The 18,397-nt window shown below is 45.8% G+C and overlaps 1 protein-coding gene across 1 annotated transcript, besides 2 other annotated features; it reads left to right on the top strand.

Moving 5' to 3' along the window:
* On the top strand, positions 297–17,568 carry MYOC (myocilin). Its single transcript, NM_000261.2, has 3 exons — positions 297–977; positions 14,263–14,388; positions 16,276–17,568. Exons 1-3 carry the CDS (start codon positions 374–376, stop codon positions 17,058–17,060), a joined length of 1,515 nt encoding a protein of 504 aa, NP_000252.1. The 5' UTR covers positions 297–373; the 3' UTR covers positions 17,061–17,568.
* Positions 7,116–7,622: an enhancer, noted in NCBI's record as "H3K27ac-H3K4me1 hESC enhancer chr1:171614503-171615009 (GRCh37/hg19 assembly coordinates)". NCBI's record gives its function as "activates a minimal SCP1, AML or CMV promoter by ChIP-STARR-seq in naive H9 embryonic stem cells {active_cell/tissue: H9 hESC(naive)}" and the evidence as "EXISTENCE:reporter gene assay evidence [ECO:0000049][PMID:30033119]".
* Positions 7,623–8,129: an enhancer, noted in NCBI's record as "H3K27ac-H3K4me1 hESC enhancer chr1:171613996-171614502 (GRCh37/hg19 assembly coordinates)". NCBI's record gives its function as "activates a minimal SCP1, AML or CMV promoter by ChIP-STARR-seq in naive H9 embryonic stem cells {active_cell/tissue: H9 hESC(naive)}" and the evidence as "EXISTENCE:reporter gene assay evidence [ECO:0000049][PMID:30033119]".

The raw sequence follows: 18,397 nt of genomic DNA, 5'->3' as shown, positions 1-18,397 counted from the left end.
AGCACACCAGTAGTCCTGGTGTAAGTGTGTGTACGTGTGTGTGTGTGTGTGTGTGTGTGTAAAACCAGGTGGAGATATAGGAACTATTATTGGGGTATGGGTGCATAAATTGGGATGTTCTTTTTAAAAAGAAACTCCAAACAGACTTCTGGAAGGTTATTTTCTAAGAATCTTGCTGGCAGCGTGAAGGCAACCCCCCTGTGCACAGCCCCACCCAGCCTCACGTGGCCACCTCTGTCTTCCCCCATGAAGGGCTGGCTCCCCAGTATATATAAACCTCTCTGGAGCTCGGGCATGAGCCAGCAAGGCCACCCATCCAGGCACCTCTCAGCACAGCAGAGCTTTCCAGAGGAAGCCTCACCAAGCCTCTGCAATGAGGTTCTTCTGTGCACGTTGCTGCAGCTTTGGGCCTGAGATGCCAGCTGTCCAGCTGCTGCTTCTGGCCTGCCTGGTGTGGGATGTGGGGGCCAGGACAGCTCAGCTCAGGAAGGCCAATGACCAGAGTGGCCGATGCCAGTATACCTTCAGTGTGGCCAGTCCCAATGAATCCAGCTGCCCAGAGCAGAGCCAGGCCATGTCAGTCATCCATAACTTACAGAGAGACAGCAGCACCCAACGCTTAGACCTGGAGGCCACCAAAGCTCGACTCAGCTCCCTGGAGAGCCTCCTCCACCAATTGACCTTGGACCAGGCTGCCAGGCCCCAGGAGACCCAGGAGGGGCTGCAGAGGGAGCTGGGCACCCTGAGGCGGGAGCGGGACCAGCTGGAAACCCAAACCAGAGAGTTGGAGACTGCCTACAGCAACCTCCTCCGAGACAAGTCAGTTCTGGAGGAAGAGAAGAAGCGACTAAGGCAAGAAAATGAGAATCTGGCCAGGAGGTTGGAAAGCAGCAGCCAGGAGGTAGCAAGGCTGAGAAGGGGCCAGTGTCCCCAGACCCGAGACACTGCTCGGGCTGTGCCACCAGGCTCCAGAGAAGGTAAGAATGCAGAGTGGGGGGACTCTGAGTTCAGCAGGTGATATGGCTCGTAGTGACCTGCTACAGGCGCTCCAGGCCTCCCTGCCTGCCCTTTCTCCTAGAGACTGCACAGCTAGCACAAGACAGATGAATTAAGGAAAGCACAGCGATCACCTTCAAGTATTACTAGTAATTTAGCTCCTGAGAGCTTCATTTAGATTAGTGGTTCAGAGTTCTTGTGCCCCTCCATGTCAGTTTTCACAGTCCATAGCAAAAGGAGAAATAAAAGGACCGGGTGAGATGTGTCTGCATATGAGCAGTAGAAAGTTGTCAATTGTCCCTTTTGAAAAACTATCCTTTTTTGAACCTTTGCTCAGATTGTTATTTGTACCTTTTGATGTTAAAATGACCTTTATTTATGAAATTACAATAGATTTGGGAAATGATAATAAGTGGTAAGTTTTTGTTTATTTTTAAATGTTCTTCCCTGGCAAAATAAAGAGATGGCACCTCTCTGTCAGTTTTCTTAATATGTTGTTCTGAAAGTTTTCTTACTCAGTCCAATCTGAGAACCTCTGCTTTTAAGTCATCAGACAAATTCTTGAGATGGCTTTTTCTGAGAGGCTCTTCTGTTCATCCTGGTCCCTTCTTGCCTAAAGGTGAGTCTGTGTGTGTGTGGGGGGGGTGCGGGGGTGAGGTGTTGGGGGAGGTCTTCTTATTAGCTGGGAAGATGGTATTTGTGTCACTTTTTGTGAAAGTGGGCTCCCAAATATTCCCTGTTGAGGAAGTGTTCTAATCATGAGGAAATAAGCAAGCAAATCCAGTTGTTGGACAATTAGTTTGGACTGGTCAAAGATGTCAGTGCCAAGGAAGAAAGAAAAAAGGGGTGGGGAAGGGCTTGTTCTATATTAAAGAGACTAAAGAAATGTGTTAACCAAATGTAGTGCATGAGTCTTGATTGGTGTCTTCATCCAAGGGGGAAAAAGGCTATGAGGAACAGGTTTGGGATAACTGAGGCAATTTGACTGCTCATTATTATGTTACTGTATTAATGTTCAGTTTCTTGGTGAGATAATGATACTGTGGTTGCGAAGGATAAAATCTTTGTTCTATGGAGATACATGCTTAAGTACCCAGGGTGAGGCGTCAGGATGTCTGCAATTTGCTCTCAAATGGTTGAAGAAAGACTGCAAATATATAGATAATGAGAGAAAGAAAGGTAAAACAACTGTGGCAAAATATTAATAACTGGTGAATTACAAACTGGTGAATCTAAGTATATGGGGAGCTTATTGTACTATTCTTTCAGTTTTTCTATAGGCTTGAAAAGCTTTAAAATTATGAGAAAATATTTCCTAAAAAGAGCCTTCTACGTGAAAGGCAAGCTCTTCATAGCTATGGGGTTAGAAAACCTAAGAGCCAGAGCCTGGGGATGACCTTGGGCAAGTTATTGAACCCTCTGCATCTTCATTTCTTGTCCATAACATAACAAAGAAAATTCCTGCTGTGAATAATTTTTGTGGGGTTCACATGAAATACCTATAAGATGTAAAGGATTTTTAAAAAATGTTTAGATTGTTAGAATTAGAAGAGATCCAATTCTGAATTTTACAACCAAGGAAAGTGAAGTCCTAAGATGCTAAGGGGCCAAGGTTGCCCAGCTGGTCAGTGGTAGAGCTTGAGACTTGAATCTGTGGAGACAATTGAAAGAATCATCATTACCAGAAGTGTGATGAGGCATTACTTATTTCAGACTGTTGAATGAAGTTACATTCTCAATAAAAACTCCTGCATGTGTGTATGTGGGTGTGGGTGGTGTGTGTGTGTGTGTACAAAAATAGTGGCAATGTTTTGCCTTTTTTTTTCTTTTGTGGTCATTTAACAAGTCTTTGGGGATTTATTAGATGTGTTTCCTAATTTTATATTTTTTCTTGATCTTTCCAGCTACTCCACTTTTGAAATAAGGGCAACATCCCATTATATTGAACACCAAACATGGAAGTTCTTTTCTAGTAGTAGATGTTTTTCATGAGCAGGAAATTACATTAGTACAAGAATGTGGAACTGGAAAGGGACCTAATGAGCATCCGGTACCGCTGGCTGATTTTTGCAGATATGGAAACTGAGGCCCAGAGAGGTTATTCAGCTTGTCCATGGCCATCTACCAGTTAGTGGCAAAGCTCGAATTCTGGCCTCTTCCTCTGAAGTTCAGTGACTTTCTTTCTTTTTTTTTGAGACAGAGTTTCACTCTTGTTGCCCAGGCTAGAGTGTAATGGCACGATCTTGGCTCACTGAAACCTCTGCCTCCCGGGTTCAAGCAATTCTCCTACCTCAGCCTCCTGAGTAGCTGGGATTATAGGCATGTGCCACCATGCCCGGCTAATTTTGTATTTTTAGTAGAGACAGGGTTTCACCATGTTGGTCAGGCTAGTCTCGAACTCCTGACCTCAGGTGATCTGCCGACCTCGGCCTTCCAAAGCACTGGGATTACAGGTGTGAGCCCTCCCTGTACATGGCCATGAGGTTCATTGACTTTCAAGACCTTCAGCTGACCTCTGGTTTATAGACCCTAAAGGTAAAAGACAGAAAGGTACAGGAATGCTTGGAACAAAAGATCTGTTTCAAGGCCAGATCTAGGGAAAAGGGGGCATTCTGGAGGCTGGAATATAAGTCTAGGTATGCTTTTTTGCAGGAGTGGCAAGAACTAGGTGTGAAGGTTTGGGTAGAGAAGCTTAGTGAGGCTGAGTGGACAAAGGTAAGGCCTGAGAAGGCAGCCTTTCTGTATTCCACCTGCAACTCAAATTGTTACCACCACTTTCTTGATCATGTATTAATAGTTGTTATGTAGAAAAAAATTCCTTATAATCATAGAAATCACTTGTTTATACATACACATAATATGACATATTTTACTACATAACTATTACTACAAAGTTATATATAACTTTTTCTTCTCTGGGCTTATATAAATTTTCATATATATACATATATAAATTTTATGTATATATAATAGTTTTTGAAAAGTAGAAAAAAAATACAATTAGCCAAGTGTGGTGGCTCACACCTGTAACCTTAGCACTTTGGGAGGCCGAGGTGGACAGATCACTTGAGGTCAGGAGTTTAAGACCAGCCTGGCCACTGTGGTGAAAACTTGTCTCTACTAAAAATACAAAAATTAGCCGGGTGTGGTGGCGGGCACCTGTAATCCAGTTACTCCAGAGGCTGAGGCAGGAGAATCGCTTGAACCTGGGAGGCAGACGTTGCAGTGAGCCAAGATCACGCTACTGCACTCCAGCCTGGGTGACAGAGCGAGACTCCATCTCAAAAAAATATATATATTACATATAATACATATAAATATATATAATTATATATATAAATTTATTATATATATAATAAAATACATATATAATTTACTAGAAGATAAATTAGAGTTGGTTATTACTGTCACAAGAGAAGGACTGCTTTGTTTGTTATTTAGCCCCTGCTTTGGACTGGTCTCCTGTTGAACAGAGCCTGGAAGAGGGCTTGTGTGCAGTTGGTTTATATGGACCATGATCCTAGAGAAGAGAAGTTGAGACAGGGGAAAGTGAGACAGGGAAGGCAGGAAAGCCACAAAATGGGGGCCTTCTCCAGCTAGTCACCACAGTGGGCAATGGAGGCTCAATCCCATCAAGCCCTTCAGAGGGGCTGTGTAGACTGCAACAGAAGAGGGGAGGTTTACGCATGGATCTGATACCCTCTTGGCCAAGGGCTATCCCATGGAGTATATTGCGCTTCCCTGATACTCAGATGTGGGGACGAGGTTTGTTCTTGCAGACTGATTTTTTTTTTTTTTTTAAGATGGAGTCTTTCTCTGTCCCCCAGGCTGGAGTGCGGTGGCACGATCTTGGCTCACTGCAACCTCCGCCTCCTGGGTTCAAGCAATTCTCCTGCCTCAGCCTCCCGAGTAGCTGGGATTACAGGTGCACACTACCACGCCCAGCTAACTTTTGTATTTTTTTTTTTTTCCAGTACAGACAGGGTTTCACCATGTTGGCCAGGCTGGTCTTGAACTCCTGACCTCAAGTATCCACCCATCTTGACCTCCCAAAGTGCTGGGATTACAGGCATGAGCCACGGCGCCTGGCCTGTTCTTGTAGACTTTCTATGCAGAAAGTCAGAGAAGCTGGGCCACGGTGGCTGAGGCGAGGTCCCCGCAGGTGATAACTGCAAGAGGCAGGTTGCCTCAGCAATGACTGCAAAAAAGTGGGCAGGATGTGAGGGGAGGGTGAGGGGAGAAACCTGAGGTGTTCAACACAAGTGCTGCAGATTCCCTTTCCTCACCTAGAATAGGATGGGGATGAGAATCCCTCATGGGAGTCATCATGCAAATTAGCAGTCACACAGGGAAGCACCCAGTGCAGCGCTGAGCAGTGGCCACCCAGTGAATAAAATATAACTAGAAAGGCTTATTTTACTTGAGTTCCACTATTGTTTTTGTTTTTTGTTTTGTTTTGTTTTTTGAAGATGGAGTCTCGCTCTATCACCAGGCTGGAGTGCAGTGGCGTGGTCTTGGCTCACTGCAACCTCCACCTCCTGGATTCAAGCAATTCTCCTGCCTCAGCCTCCCAAGTAGCTGGGATTACAGGCACACGCCACCATGCCCGGCTAATTTTTGTATTTTTAGTGGAGATGGGGTTTCACCATGTTGGCCAGGCTGGTCTTGAACTCCCGACCTCGTGATCCACCCGCCTCAGCCTCCCAAAGTGCTGGGATTACAGGCATGAGCCACTGCACCTGGCCAGGGTTCCACTATTGTTTTAAAGCATCATTCAATAATCAATATGTCAACATGTGCATAACATTTTAATAACATGCGTTGATTCTAGAGACAGTACAAGTTAGAGCAGTACTCAGGACAATAGTCTATTAGCTAGTCTTCACTTTCCTAAGATGTTTCTGACAACCTGTAGATAATTAGGCATAGCTTGTTTTACTTCATTCCTTTCATTTATGTAATATGGACTGAACTTTCCAGTGATAGAAAATATCTATGAAAATTATTACAATGCCTATGTCTACAGGCAAACGAGTTAATAAATTCAGTTTCCGGGTTGAGGTCTCTAAAATGCCAAGTCTATAAAGAAGCGACGGCAGAGAACACAGAACATTTCCAGAATTTTGTAATAGACATGAACCTTTAAACCACAGAAGGACTGAATTTAACATTTTAAAAAACCTAGAAAAAAAACAGCTGGGCGTGGTGGCTCACGCCTGTAATCCCAGCACTTTGGGAGGCTGAGGCAGGCGGATCACGAGGTCAGGAGTTCGTGACCAGCCTGGCCAATATGGTAAAACCCTGTCTCTACTAAAAATACAAAAATTAGCCAGGCGTGGTGGCAGGCACCTGTAGTCCCAGCTACTCAGGAGGCTGAGGCAGAAGAATCACTTGAACCCAGGAGGCAGAGGTTGCAATGAGCTGAGATCATGCCACTGTACTCCAGCCTGGGTGACAGAGCGAGACCCTGTCTCAAAAAAAAAAAAACAAAAAAAAAAACCTTAAAAAATAAAAGCCCCAAAAATGCTAACTATCTGACACAGTACAGCCCTTAATATTTTCACAGTCTCTTTTTGGTTTTCCTCCACATTCACAATGAAATGTTAGTGATTTTAAAACATTCCAGAGAAATTTTAGTGTTGACACATCTTTATTGAGGGCCATTTCATTTATAGTTACTTATGTAATCATCCAAACAATTCAGCTCAGCATACTGGGGCTCAGAGAGGTGGAGTCATTTACCCAAAGTCACACAGCTGGGACATGGCAGAGCTGAACTAGGAGCTATGACTTCCGGCTTAGGTCCAGGCCCCTTTACGAGATTGTTTCCCTGCCTTTGGGTTTTGCATCCTCTATTCTGGGCTTCCACCCGCATGCCAGATGGCTCTATTCCTGGAGTCTGACCATTGCCAGATGCTCCTGGCTGACATGACCTAGAAGAAGCCAGCAGGCTCATAACTTAACCATCGCCCCTGCCAAATGGGAACTGGCCTTGCCGTCATCCTGGAAGCCATTCCCTGACATTTTGTTTTATTGCAGTTCATGTTTATTCCAGCTAATGCACATAAGGAGTGGTTCCTGCAAGGCACAATCTGAAGGGCTCCTTGCTCAGAGCCGTAAGGGCCATGGTGGGATTCAGCAGGGAACTTGGCACCAGCCAGGCACTTTTGCTGCCTCTTCTTTGCCAGTGAGGGTAGAAGAACTGATAAGAGGATTGAGTGCACAGCCCAGGAGCTGAGAGTTTACAAGGCAACCCACTGGGACCTGAGCTCAGCCCCAGGAGTGGGTCACCCCACAAAGTGCTGAGCAGCATCTTTGAGACTCTTCTGAAGCCTCCAGTAGCCATCTGGGTCCAGTCGGGAGATAGAAATCACACAGTGGGTTAAGCTGGGGAAGTTTACTTTAAAGAATTACTAACCGTGATGAAAGAGCAACTATAGATAGACGTGAACTCCATAGGCACCTAGGGCTGAGGGAGGGTGCCGGACAAGCTTGGAAGGGGAAGGTGAGGTTCAGCACATCAGCTTGCAGAGAAGGTGGCTAAGGTGTGCAGGCCTCAGCTGGTCTGCAGCTGCAATAGGCCGCCTCCCAGTGCAGGTGAGGAGGGCAACCTGCAACGTGTGGCAAGGGCATGGTGGGAGTCAGGGCAGGCACAGGCAGGAGGCCTCCAGAGCACTGAGGTCCGTGTGCAGGGACTCTGGGTTCCTTGTTGGGAGGGCTGTGGAAAGGTTATGGCCAGGCTGTGGCTGTGAGGTCACAGAAGAACTTCGCTCTGGGTCCGTGGCTGGGGTAGGACTCCAACAAATGTCCTCACAGTCATACCACCTATGGACGCAGGACAGGAAAACTGCAGACCTTTTTCCTCCCACGATGTCCCTCCAGCGCCCTCTACTGAGATAGTTCAACATCGCGCTCACTTCAAAGCTCTTGTTCTTCAGACAGCATACATGGGAGGGTGCATTCAGCTCTGAGAGGCAATGCGTTTATAACTGACACACCTCCTCAGCACAGGATGGAAGAGTTCGCAGCTGCCATGGCCTCGGAAGACATGGGTTCAAGTCCCAGCGATACCACTTAGCTGTGTGACCTTGGGCATGTTACTTAACCTCTCTGAACCTCGGTTTCCTCATTTGCAAAAGGGGATATTAATGTTCACTTTCAGGACCATTATTTGAAAGTAGTGAGTAGCAAGCACCCAGCACAGTACTGGCTCATAAGAGACACTTAATAAGTAGTAGCGATAGTTCAACTTTATCAGGCGCTATCTGCAGTCCTAAAGCCTTTCTCTATTTCTCTGAAACTTTGAAGGCACCAGATCACATTTAAAAATTACATAAAAATTACTTGAAATGGGCAAAGAGCTATAAATGCCGACAAACCATCTTGTTTCACAAAAAAAAAAAAAAAAAAAGCTGTTTTTTAGAGTTGCAAAGCCAGTACATACTTTAGCTATCCACAAGGAAGTCATCTGTGAAAATGCCTGACTTTTTTGGGTTTCACTTTCTTCCTTCCCTCTATAGCAAAAGGGGCATTTCTTTCTTAATTTTCTCCCCACTGACTGGTAGGTAGGTACCCCTACTTTTCTTAGTATACATCTTTTCTCGGTAAGTTGTTAAATTAAATAACCAGCATAAAATACATCATTTTGTATGTGTAAAGGGGCCAGATGCAGGGGAGGGATGGCTCGCCTGAATTTAATATTTTTTTAAAAACCTAAAAAAAAAAGCCCTAAAAATGTTAACGATCTGTCACAATATAGCCCTTAATATTTTCATAATCTCTTTTTGGTTTTCTTCCACATTCAGAATGAAATGTTAGTGATTTTGAAACATTCCAGAGAAATTTTAGTATTGACACATTTATTAAGGGACCCTCCCATGGCAACTGTGGATGGCATAGCTGAAGTGTAGGGACAAGGTTGGGGCAGTCCTCCAGACTTTGTGTACAGATGGCATGCAGTATTTCTCTCTCCTCACATTGCCTGAAACCAACTCCTTTTTTTTTTTTTTTTTTTTTTTTTGAGACAGAGTCTCTCTGTCACCCAGGCTGGAGTCCAATGGCACAATCTCAGCTCACTGCAACCTTTGCCTCCCAGGTTCAAACGATTCTCCTGACTTAGCCTCCCTAGTTGCTGAGATTACAGGCATGTGCCACTATGCCCGGCTAATTTTTGTATTTTTAGTAGAGACAGGGTTTCAGCATGTTGGTCAGGCTGGTCTCGAACTCCTGACCTCATGATCCACCCACCTCAGCCTCCCAAAGTGCTGGAATTACAGGCGTGAGCCACCATGCCCAGCAACTCTTATATTCTGAGAGTTGAGACAATGAAAGAAAAGAAATTTGAGTTGTCCTGAGGCAGAGTCTGCAGTGATCCAAGAAGAGGTACAGATGAAAGGAAACCAGCTCAATTCAAGGAACTTGCTTAATGCCCTGATTTTGAAAAATTGTCCTGGCAAGACTTTGCCACATCGAATGAGCCTCTGCACATTGCAGGAGGCTGGCAGGGCCAGGGAGCGGTGGGCTGCTCCTAACAGCCTGGGTGTGTGTTCTGGGCCTAAGAGAGAAGGCATGGCAATCGGCGAGGCAGCATCAGAGAGGAAGGTTACAGATGGTTCTGCCACCTGTGTACAGGAAGGCGGTCACTCTCTCTTACCTCTCCCTGGCAGCACAGAAGAACAGGGAACCTCGGGCACCCTGTCCCTCTCCCCCATAGGCAGCACCAAGTCCCTGCCGGAGGTGTGTGTTGCCTGCACAGGGGGAGAAGGGAAGCAGCTGGTACTGGTCTCAGGTCGATCTAAGGAAACTCCATTTGACCTAGTGAATCAGTCCCTGCCCTGGATACCCTCCTAGGCCAATGCAACCTTTAGAATGAAGAACAAAGGGGTTTCCTCACCCCTGCACAACCTCAGATAGGGAGAAGGAGACGCAGGGAATGAAATAAAAGTTTCCAGGACTCTCCAGGAGCCATTCAGATTGTCCAAGAAACTGGTTTCCGCAGCAGCCTGGAATAAACCCATTTTCCTTCTCGGGTATGAGGACTTTGCCAGATTATGATTTCCTTAAGGGCATGGACTGATTGTGTCTTTTTTTTTTTTTTTTTAAACATAGACTAGCCTATTAGACAAACTTGTGTCTTAGACACCTTTTTTTCTTGAGCACCTAGCACAGCCTTGCACTCAATAGGTGCTCCAATGATGTGACTAAAAGGATGGATAAATAGCTCTGTGGATTTGAGGCTAGGAATAATGAAGGCCTGCCATGTCCCGGGGGGTACTCCCAATTGCCCCTGGAGTTTGGAATGCACATTGAGGATGTCCTCAGTTACATATACATTTTGGCTTATGAGTCTTTCTTTTTTTAATTTTTTTTTTTTTTAAGACAGGGTCTCACTCTGTCACCCAGACTGGAGTGCAGTGGCATGATCATGGCTCACTGCAGCCTTGCCCTCTTGGACTCAAGAGTCATCTTCCTGCCTCAGCCTCCCGAGTAGCTGAGACCACAGACTGCACCACCACACCCAGCTAACTCTTTAATTTTTTGTAAAGATGGGGTCTCGCTATGTTGCCCAGCCTGGTCCCAAACTCTTGGCCTCATGCAATCCTGCCACCTCGGCCTCCCAAAGTGCTGGGTTTACAGGCATGAGCCACTGCGCCTGGCCAGCTTATGGGTTTTAACTACTTACATGGTGCACTCTAGACTGAGGGATATCCCAGGGATGGAGGACCCACCCACCTCCAGGGCATTAACACTTTTAGGGAGGCTAACAACTGCAGCCACACAGAGGCAGGGGTGGAGAGGAGAGAAGGGTAGCTGGGATCAGGGGCAGGCAGCTGCAGCAGCTACTGAGCTGGCTCACTGTGGGCAGCATGGCTGTCTGGCCCAGCCTGCACCTGAGAGCTAGCTGAATGTTTTCTTCACCTCCTTCCAGGGAGAAATTTTTTCCAGTACTATAATTTGTTGAAGCTGAACCCCAGCAACTCAAACAAGGTACCCTGACTCTGGAGATGTGAAAATGTAAAATAATGTGTGGCTTTGATGAAATGTGGTAGAACCAGAGGATTAAGACTTCTGTGGTGATCCTCTCTGCCTGAAATCTAAATTTAGGAGAGCTGAGCAAACAAATGATCAAAGGCAGAACATGTCTTCCCGACCCTCTCGGCTGTGTAGGCGCTCCGGCCTCAGGGGATGCACTGACTTTCCTCCCACTGTCCTGAACACCTGAGAATCCTGAGCGGGGAACAAGTTGCTCAAAGGGCAGAGAAGTGACTCAGAGGTTCAGCAAGAGAAAAGCCCAGTGTATTAAGCATGTCTTTTTATTCTGATGCTTTGCTGTCTGGGCCTTGCAAACGTGAGAGGGACTGCCCCTCCCAGGGGTAGCCAGTTCCTACGGTTAGCAAAGGACTCACCTGGGAGGACAGCTTTCATATGCAAACCAACCAATCCAGAGCCCACACCCTGTGACCACCTCCATCTGGCTCAAACTCAAGGCCACTGTCCCCCTGACCTAATCACCCAGGGCCTGGTACCAGACAATTAGAGATAACTCCTGTGACCCCAGATCCTGCTGAAATTATTCAAACTCCCCAATCCTAAACCTGCTTACCCTGCCTCCCCTTTCTTTCCTTCCCATGGAAAGAATAAAGGCGCTTTCCCACATTTTCCCCTGGTGCCCTCTTCTGGAGCAACCCTGGTGCTTCCCCAGGTGGCCTCCTGGGCTTAGTGTGCCCCCTTCCTCTTGGGCTCTGTGAGTACAACAACTTGTAAAGATAATTTTTTTTTAGAGCAGTTTTATGTTCACAGCCAAATTGAGAGAAAAGTACAAACAGTTCCCAGATACTACTGGCCCCCACACATGCACAGCCTCCCCGATTATCATCATCTCCCGCCACAGCAGTTGTTACAACTGATGAACCTGCATCAGCACGCACAACACCCAAGGTCCACGGTTTAAATTAGGGTTCATTTTTGGTGTTGCGCCTTCTATGGGTTTAGACAAATGCATAGTGACATGTGTCCACCATTATAGTATCATACACAGTATTCATTGCCCTAAAAATCGTCTGTGCCTCACCTAGTCATCCCTTCCTCACCCAACAACTGCTGATCTTTTTACTGTCTCCATAATTTTGCTTTAACTTGCTTTTCAGTGACAATTGCCTCCTGGGATGTTGGCCTTGCCACACCTGAATAATCATCAAACCTGCATTTTATTTGTTTTTATGTGTATGTGATGGGTTTTTTGGGAGGTTGGAGGGGAGGACAGGGTCTCACTCTACGCCAGGGCTGGAGTGCAGAGGTACGATCACTGCTCACCACAGCCTTGACCTCCCGGTCTCAAGTGATCCTCCCACCTCAGCCTCCCAAGTAGCTGGGACTGCAGGTACACATCACCACCCAGGCTAACTTTTTGTAGTTTTTGTAGAGATGGGATTTCACCATGTTGCCCAGGTTTGTCTTGAACTCCTGGGCTCCAGTGATCTGTCTACCTTGGCTTCCCAAAGTGCTGGGATTACAGGTATGAGCCACTGGGCCTGGCCAAACTGCATTTTAAAATAGCCAAGCCTGTTCCTTGTGACTATTGCCTCATCCTTGTATTCAAGACTGCTGTAAGATCATAATCCTAAGCAAGAGTAGAGACATGTAGCACACCATGATCACTTACTGTCTAACCAATGCTGCCCACCCGCTTCCCTTCTGTATGGCTCACCACCCCCACCCCAAACTCCTATAGGAACTCTGCACACACTCCCTCTCCATTATGCAAAACTGGTCTCAGAAAGGAATCAGACAGAATATTTCTACTGAAAGTATAAAGCTTAATATGTTACTTCTTACAAGAATATTTGCATATAACAAGGGAAAAAACCTTAAGTCATGCAGTAAACTTTTATCTTTTTTTTTTTTTTAACAGGAGTCTCCCTATGTTGCCCAAGCTGGTCTTGAACACCTGGGCTCAAGTACTCCTCCTGTCTTGGCCTCCCAAAGTGCTGGGATTACAGACATGAGCCACACTTCTTTTTTTTTTTTTTTTTTTTTTTTTTTCTTGAGACAGAGTCTTGCTCTGTTGCCCAGACTGGAGTACAGTTGCACAATCCCGGCTCCCTGCAACCTTTGCCTCCTGGGTTCAAGTGATCCTCAACCTCCTGAGTATCTGGAACTACAGGCATGTGCCACCACACCCTGCTAATTCTTGTATTTCTAGTAAAGATGGAATTTCACCACGCTGGCCAGGCTAGTCTTGAACTCCTGGCCTTAAGTGATCCGCCTGCCTCGGCCTCCCAAAGTGCTGGGATTTCAGTGTGAGCCACTGTGCCCGGTCTCTTTTTTTTTTTTTTTGAGACCTTGAGACCGGGCCTTGCTCTGTTACCCAAGCTGGAGTGCAGTGGCAGGATCATAGCTCACTGCAGCCTTGAACTTCTGGGCTCAAGCAATCCTCCCACATCAGCCTCCCAAGTACCTAGGACTGCAGATGCTTACCACCATGCCCAGCTAATTTTTCATGAATTTTTAATTATTGAAATTCAGACATCTAAGAAGATGCTGAGGACTGTCTCCATATTCCTGAAATTACGACTCACCTATTCACAAACCAGCCCTTCTAGTGGAATTAAAATATTATTTGATTTTGAATACCCTACTCTAAGGTAGGCACATTGCCCTGCAATTTATTATTTATGAGGTTTTTAATTATGGAATTGTTCAAATATTCACAAAAGTAGAGAGACTACAATGAACTCCAATGTAGCCATCACTCAGGCCCAACTGTTATCAGCACAGTCCAATCATGTTTTATCTTCCCTTCTCTGACCCCCAACCCATCCCCAGTCCTTATCTAAAATCAAATCTCAAACACCATATCTTTGGGAGCCTATTTATTTAGTTAGTTAGTTTTCAGACAGAGTTTCTTTCTTGTTGCCCAAGCTGGAGTACAATAGTGTAGTCTCGGCTCACAGCAATCTCCCCCTCCTTGGTTCAAGCAATTCTCCTGCCTCAGTCTCCCAAGAAGCTGGGATTATAGGCACCTGCCACCACATCCAGCTAATTCTTTTGTGTTTTTAGCAAAGACAGGGTTTCACCATGTTGGCCAGGCTGGTCTCGAACTCCTGACCTCAGGTGATCCGCCTGCCTCGGCCTCCCAAAGTGCTGGGATTACAGGCATGAGCCACCACGCCTGGCCGGCAGCCTATTTAAATGTCATCCTCAACATAGTCAATCCTTGGGCCATTTTTTCTTACAGTAAAATTTTGTCTCTTTCTTTTAATGCAGTTTCTACGTGGAATTTGGACACTTTGGCCTTCCAGGAACTGAAGTCCGAGCTAACTGAAGTTCCTGCTTCCCGAATTTTGAAGGAGAGCCCATCTGGCTATCTCAGGAGTGGAGAGGGAGACACCGGTATGAAGTTAAGTTTCTTCCCTTTTGTGCCCACGTGGTCTTTATTCATGTCTAGTGCTGTGTTCAGAGAATCAGTATAGGGTAAATGCCCACCCAAGGGGGAAATTAACTTCCCTGGGAGCAGAGGGAGGGGAGGAGAAGAGGAACAGAACTCTCTCTCTCTCTCTGTTCCCTTGTCAGAGCAGGTCTGCAGGAGTCAGCCTTTCCCTAACAAAGCCCTCTATCCTATCACCCACACTTGGGAGGCTGGGCTGGGCTGCACAGGGCAAGATGAGAGATGTGTTGATTTCATCCACTTGATTGTCATGTAGAATTAGATATACTTGAGAAGTTACATTTTTCAGTAGCGCCTTCATATCTTTATTTTAGGGACAGGTATACACCAAGCACCATCTCAGCCACAATCTGTTACTAACAGTATGTTTTCTGAACTTTGGCCACTTAGGAAAAGTACAGTTTGGCTCTCTCCAAAGTGTTCCCTGAAAGTCCAACTTTATGACTAATACTGTGATTTCCAGAAACTTTGACTATCCATGTTATTGACAATGATTACTAGCACTGAAGGGCATGCATGCAAGTAGGGGTTATGAAATATTTAAAACACGGTTCTCTAAGATATGAGCAGCAAAGTGTTTCTACCTTCTATGAGGGAACCGAAGGTGCCATTAAAAGTAGAGAAATCTGGACCAGGCATGGTGGCTCATGCCTGTAATCCCAGCACTTTGGGAGGCTGAGGCGGGCGGATCACTTGAGGTCAGGAGTTCAAGACCAGCCTGGCCAACATGGTGAAACACTGTCTCTACTAAAAATACAAAAATTAGCCAGGCATGGTGGCAGTCATCTGTAATCCCAGCTACTTGGGAGGCTGAGGCAGGAAAATTGCTTGAACCCAGGAGGCAGAGGTTGCAGTGAGCCGAGATCACACCACTGCCCTCCAGCCTGGGCGACAGAGTGAGACTCTGTCTCAAAAAAAAAAAAAATACAGACATCTGTTGTGATTCTGGTAACTCTAAATTTTCAACCGTCTCTTCACTACATTTAAAAAATTATTTTCTAAACCAAATTAGCCAGGTGTGGTAGCAGGCACCTGTAGTCCCAGCAACTCAGGAGGCTGAGATGGGAGGGGTGCTTGAGCCTGGAAGGTCGAGGCTGCAGTGCACTGTGATTGCACCACTGCACTCCAGCCTAGGTAACAGTGCAAGACCCTGTCTCAAAAAATAATTATTTTCATGTTTATTATATTAAAATGATGTATGAAATATGTGACTCATCAGGGCTTGAAAAACTTTGTTGTATGGAGATTATTCTTATGAGTTGATTTTTCTCTCTCCTACCTTATAGTAATGAAATAAACCAGGCATGAAAGTCACAATAAGTAATACAATGAACACCCATGGGTCCCTGCCCAGCTTAAGTAGAATATTACAAATGCAGTTGAAGCCCTCTGTGCAACTTTCATCCTTACAACTGATACTGAGTGAATTGTACTTTAAATATTTTATAGCTCCCACTCCCATGCATGCCCCTCAGTGATAGCAATAATTGTCAATAACATGAAACACAGATTGATCATATAGCATTTACCATATATTTACTCTATACCAAGCACTTAACATATATAATTACATTTAAAATTTACAACAGCCCTACTACCCAAAACACTATTAGTATCCCCTTTTACAAATGCGATAACTGAGGCGTAGAGAGCTAAGTAACTTACTGAAAGTCACACAGCCAGCGGGTGGTAGAGCCTAGCTTTAAACCCAGACGATTTGTCTCCAGGGCTGTCACATCTACTGGCTCTGCCAAGCTTCCGCATGATCATTGTCTGTGTTTGGAAAGATTATGGATTAAGTGGTGCTTCGTTTTCTTTTCTGAATTTACCAGGATGTGGAGAACTAGTTTGGGTAGGAGAGCCTCTCACGCTGAGAACAGCAGAAACAATTACTGGCAAGTATGGTGTGTGGATGCGAGACCCCAAGCCCACCTACCCCTACACCCAGGAGACCACGTGGAGAATCGACACAGTTGGCACGGATGTCCGCCAGGTTTTTGAGTATGACCTCATCAGCCAGTTTATGCAGGGCTACCCTTCTAAGGTTCACATACTGCCTAGGCCACTGGAAAGCACGGGTGCTGTGGTGTACTCGGGGAGCCTCTATTTCCAGGGCGCTGAGTCCAGAACTGTCATAAGATATGAGCTGAATACCGAGACAGTGAAGGCTGAGAAGGAAATCCCTGGAGCTGGCTACCACGGACAGTTCCCGTATTCTTGGGGTGGCTACACGGACATTGACTTGGCTGTGGATGAAGCAGGCCTCTGGGTCATTTACAGCACCGATGAGGCCAAAGGTGCCATTGTCCTCTCCAAACTGAACCCAGAGAATCTGGAACTCGAACAAACCTGGGAGACAAACATCCGTAAGCAGTCAGTCGCCAATGCCTTCATCATCTGTGGCACCTTGTACACCGTCAGCAGCTACACCTCAGCAGATGCTACCGTCAACTTTGCTTATGACACAGGCACAGGTATCAGCAAGACCCTGACCATCCCATTCAAGAACCGCTATAAGTACAGCAGCATGATTGACTACAACCCCCTGGAGAAGAAGCTCTTTGCCTGGGACAACTTGAACATGGTCACTTATGACATCAAGCTCTCCAAGATGTGAAAAGCCTCCAAGCTGTACAGGCAATGGCAGAAGGAGATGCTCAGGGCTCCTGGGGGGAGCAGGCTGAAGGGAGAGCCAGCCAGCCAGGGCCCAGGCAGCTTTGACTGCTTTCCAAGTTTTCATTAATCCAGAAGGATGAACATGGTCACCATCTAACTATTCAGGAATTGTAGTCTGAGGGCGTAGACAATTTCATATAATAAATATCCTTTATCTTCTGTCAGCATTTATGGGATGTTTAATGACATAGTTCAAGTTTTCTTGTGATTTGGGGCAAAAGCTGTAAGGCATAATAGTTTCTTCCTGAAAACCATTGCTCTTGCATGTTACATGGTTACCACAAGCCACAATAAAAAGCATAACTTCTAAAGGAAGCAGAATAGCTCCTCTGGCCAGCATCGAATATAAGTAAGATGCATTTACTACAGTTGGCTTCTAATGCTTCAGATAGAATACAGTTGGGTCTCACATAACCCTTTACATTGTGAAATAAAATTTTCTTACCCAACGTTCTCTTCCTTGAACTTTGTGGGAATCTTTGCTTAAGAGAAGGATATAGATTCCAACCATCAGGTAATTCCTTCAGGTTGGGAGATGTGATTGCAGGATGTTAAAGGTGGTGTGTGTGTGTGTGTGTGTGTGTGTAACTGAGAGGCTTGTGCCTGGTTTTGAGGTGCTGCCCAGGATGACGCCAAGCAAATAGCAGCATCCACACTTTCCCACCTCCATCTCCTGGTGCTCTCGGCACTACCGGAGCAATCTTTCCATCTCTCCCCTGAACCCACCCTCTATTCACCCTAACTCCACTTCAGTTTGCTTTTGATTTTTTTTTTTTTTTTTTTTTTTTTTTGAGATGGAGTCTCGCTCTGTCACCCAGGCTGGAGTGCAGTGGCACGATCTCGGCTCACTGCAAGTTCCGCCTCCCAGGTTCACACCATTCTCCTGCCTCAGCCTCCCAAGTAGCTGGGACTACAGGCGCCTGCCACCACGCCTGGCTAATTTTTTTTTTTTCCAGTGAAGATGGGGTTTCACCATGTTAGCCAGGATGGTCTCGATCTCCTGACCTTGTCATCCACCCACCTTGGCCTCCCAAAGTGCTGGGATTACAGGCGTGAGCCACCACGCCCAGCCCCTCCACTTCAGTTTTTATCTGTCATCAGGGGTATGAATTTTATAAGCCACAACCTCAGGTGGAGAAAGCTTATAGCATAGTTTTGTTCTTCCAACTCTTAAAACTGCAGTAAAATATAACAAAATTTACCATCCCAGGATTTATAAAGGCACAGTTCAGTAGTGTTAAACACATTCATATTATTGGGCAACCATCACGACCATCA

This window comes from Homo sapiens, chromosome 1, assembly GCF_000001405.40.
Source record: "Homo sapiens chromosome 1, GRCh38.p14 Primary Assembly".
Classification (NCBI taxonomy): Eukaryota; Metazoa; Chordata; class Mammalia; order Primates; family Hominidae; genus Homo; species Homo sapiens.
The sequence above is the reverse complement of the archived record's forward strand: the minus strand, read 5'-3'. Positions and strand labels throughout refer to the sequence as shown.

What these genes read in the sequence shown, in the direction of transcription:
- MYOC (NM_000261.2), top strand. Translation starts at nt 374, where the DNA reads ATGAGGTTCTTCTGTGCACGTTGCTGCAGCTTTGGGCCTGAGATGCCA. An exon ending in GCCACCAGGCTCCAGAGAAG is followed by an intron (nt 978 to 14,262) that starts GTAAGAATGCAG and finishes CTTTTAATGCAG; the next exon opens with TTTCTACGTGGAATTTGGAC. An exon ending in GAGTGGAGAGGGAGACACCG is followed by an intron (nt 14,389 to 16,275) that starts GTATGAAGTTAA and finishes TGAATTTACCAG; the next exon opens with GATGTGGAGAACTAGTTTGG.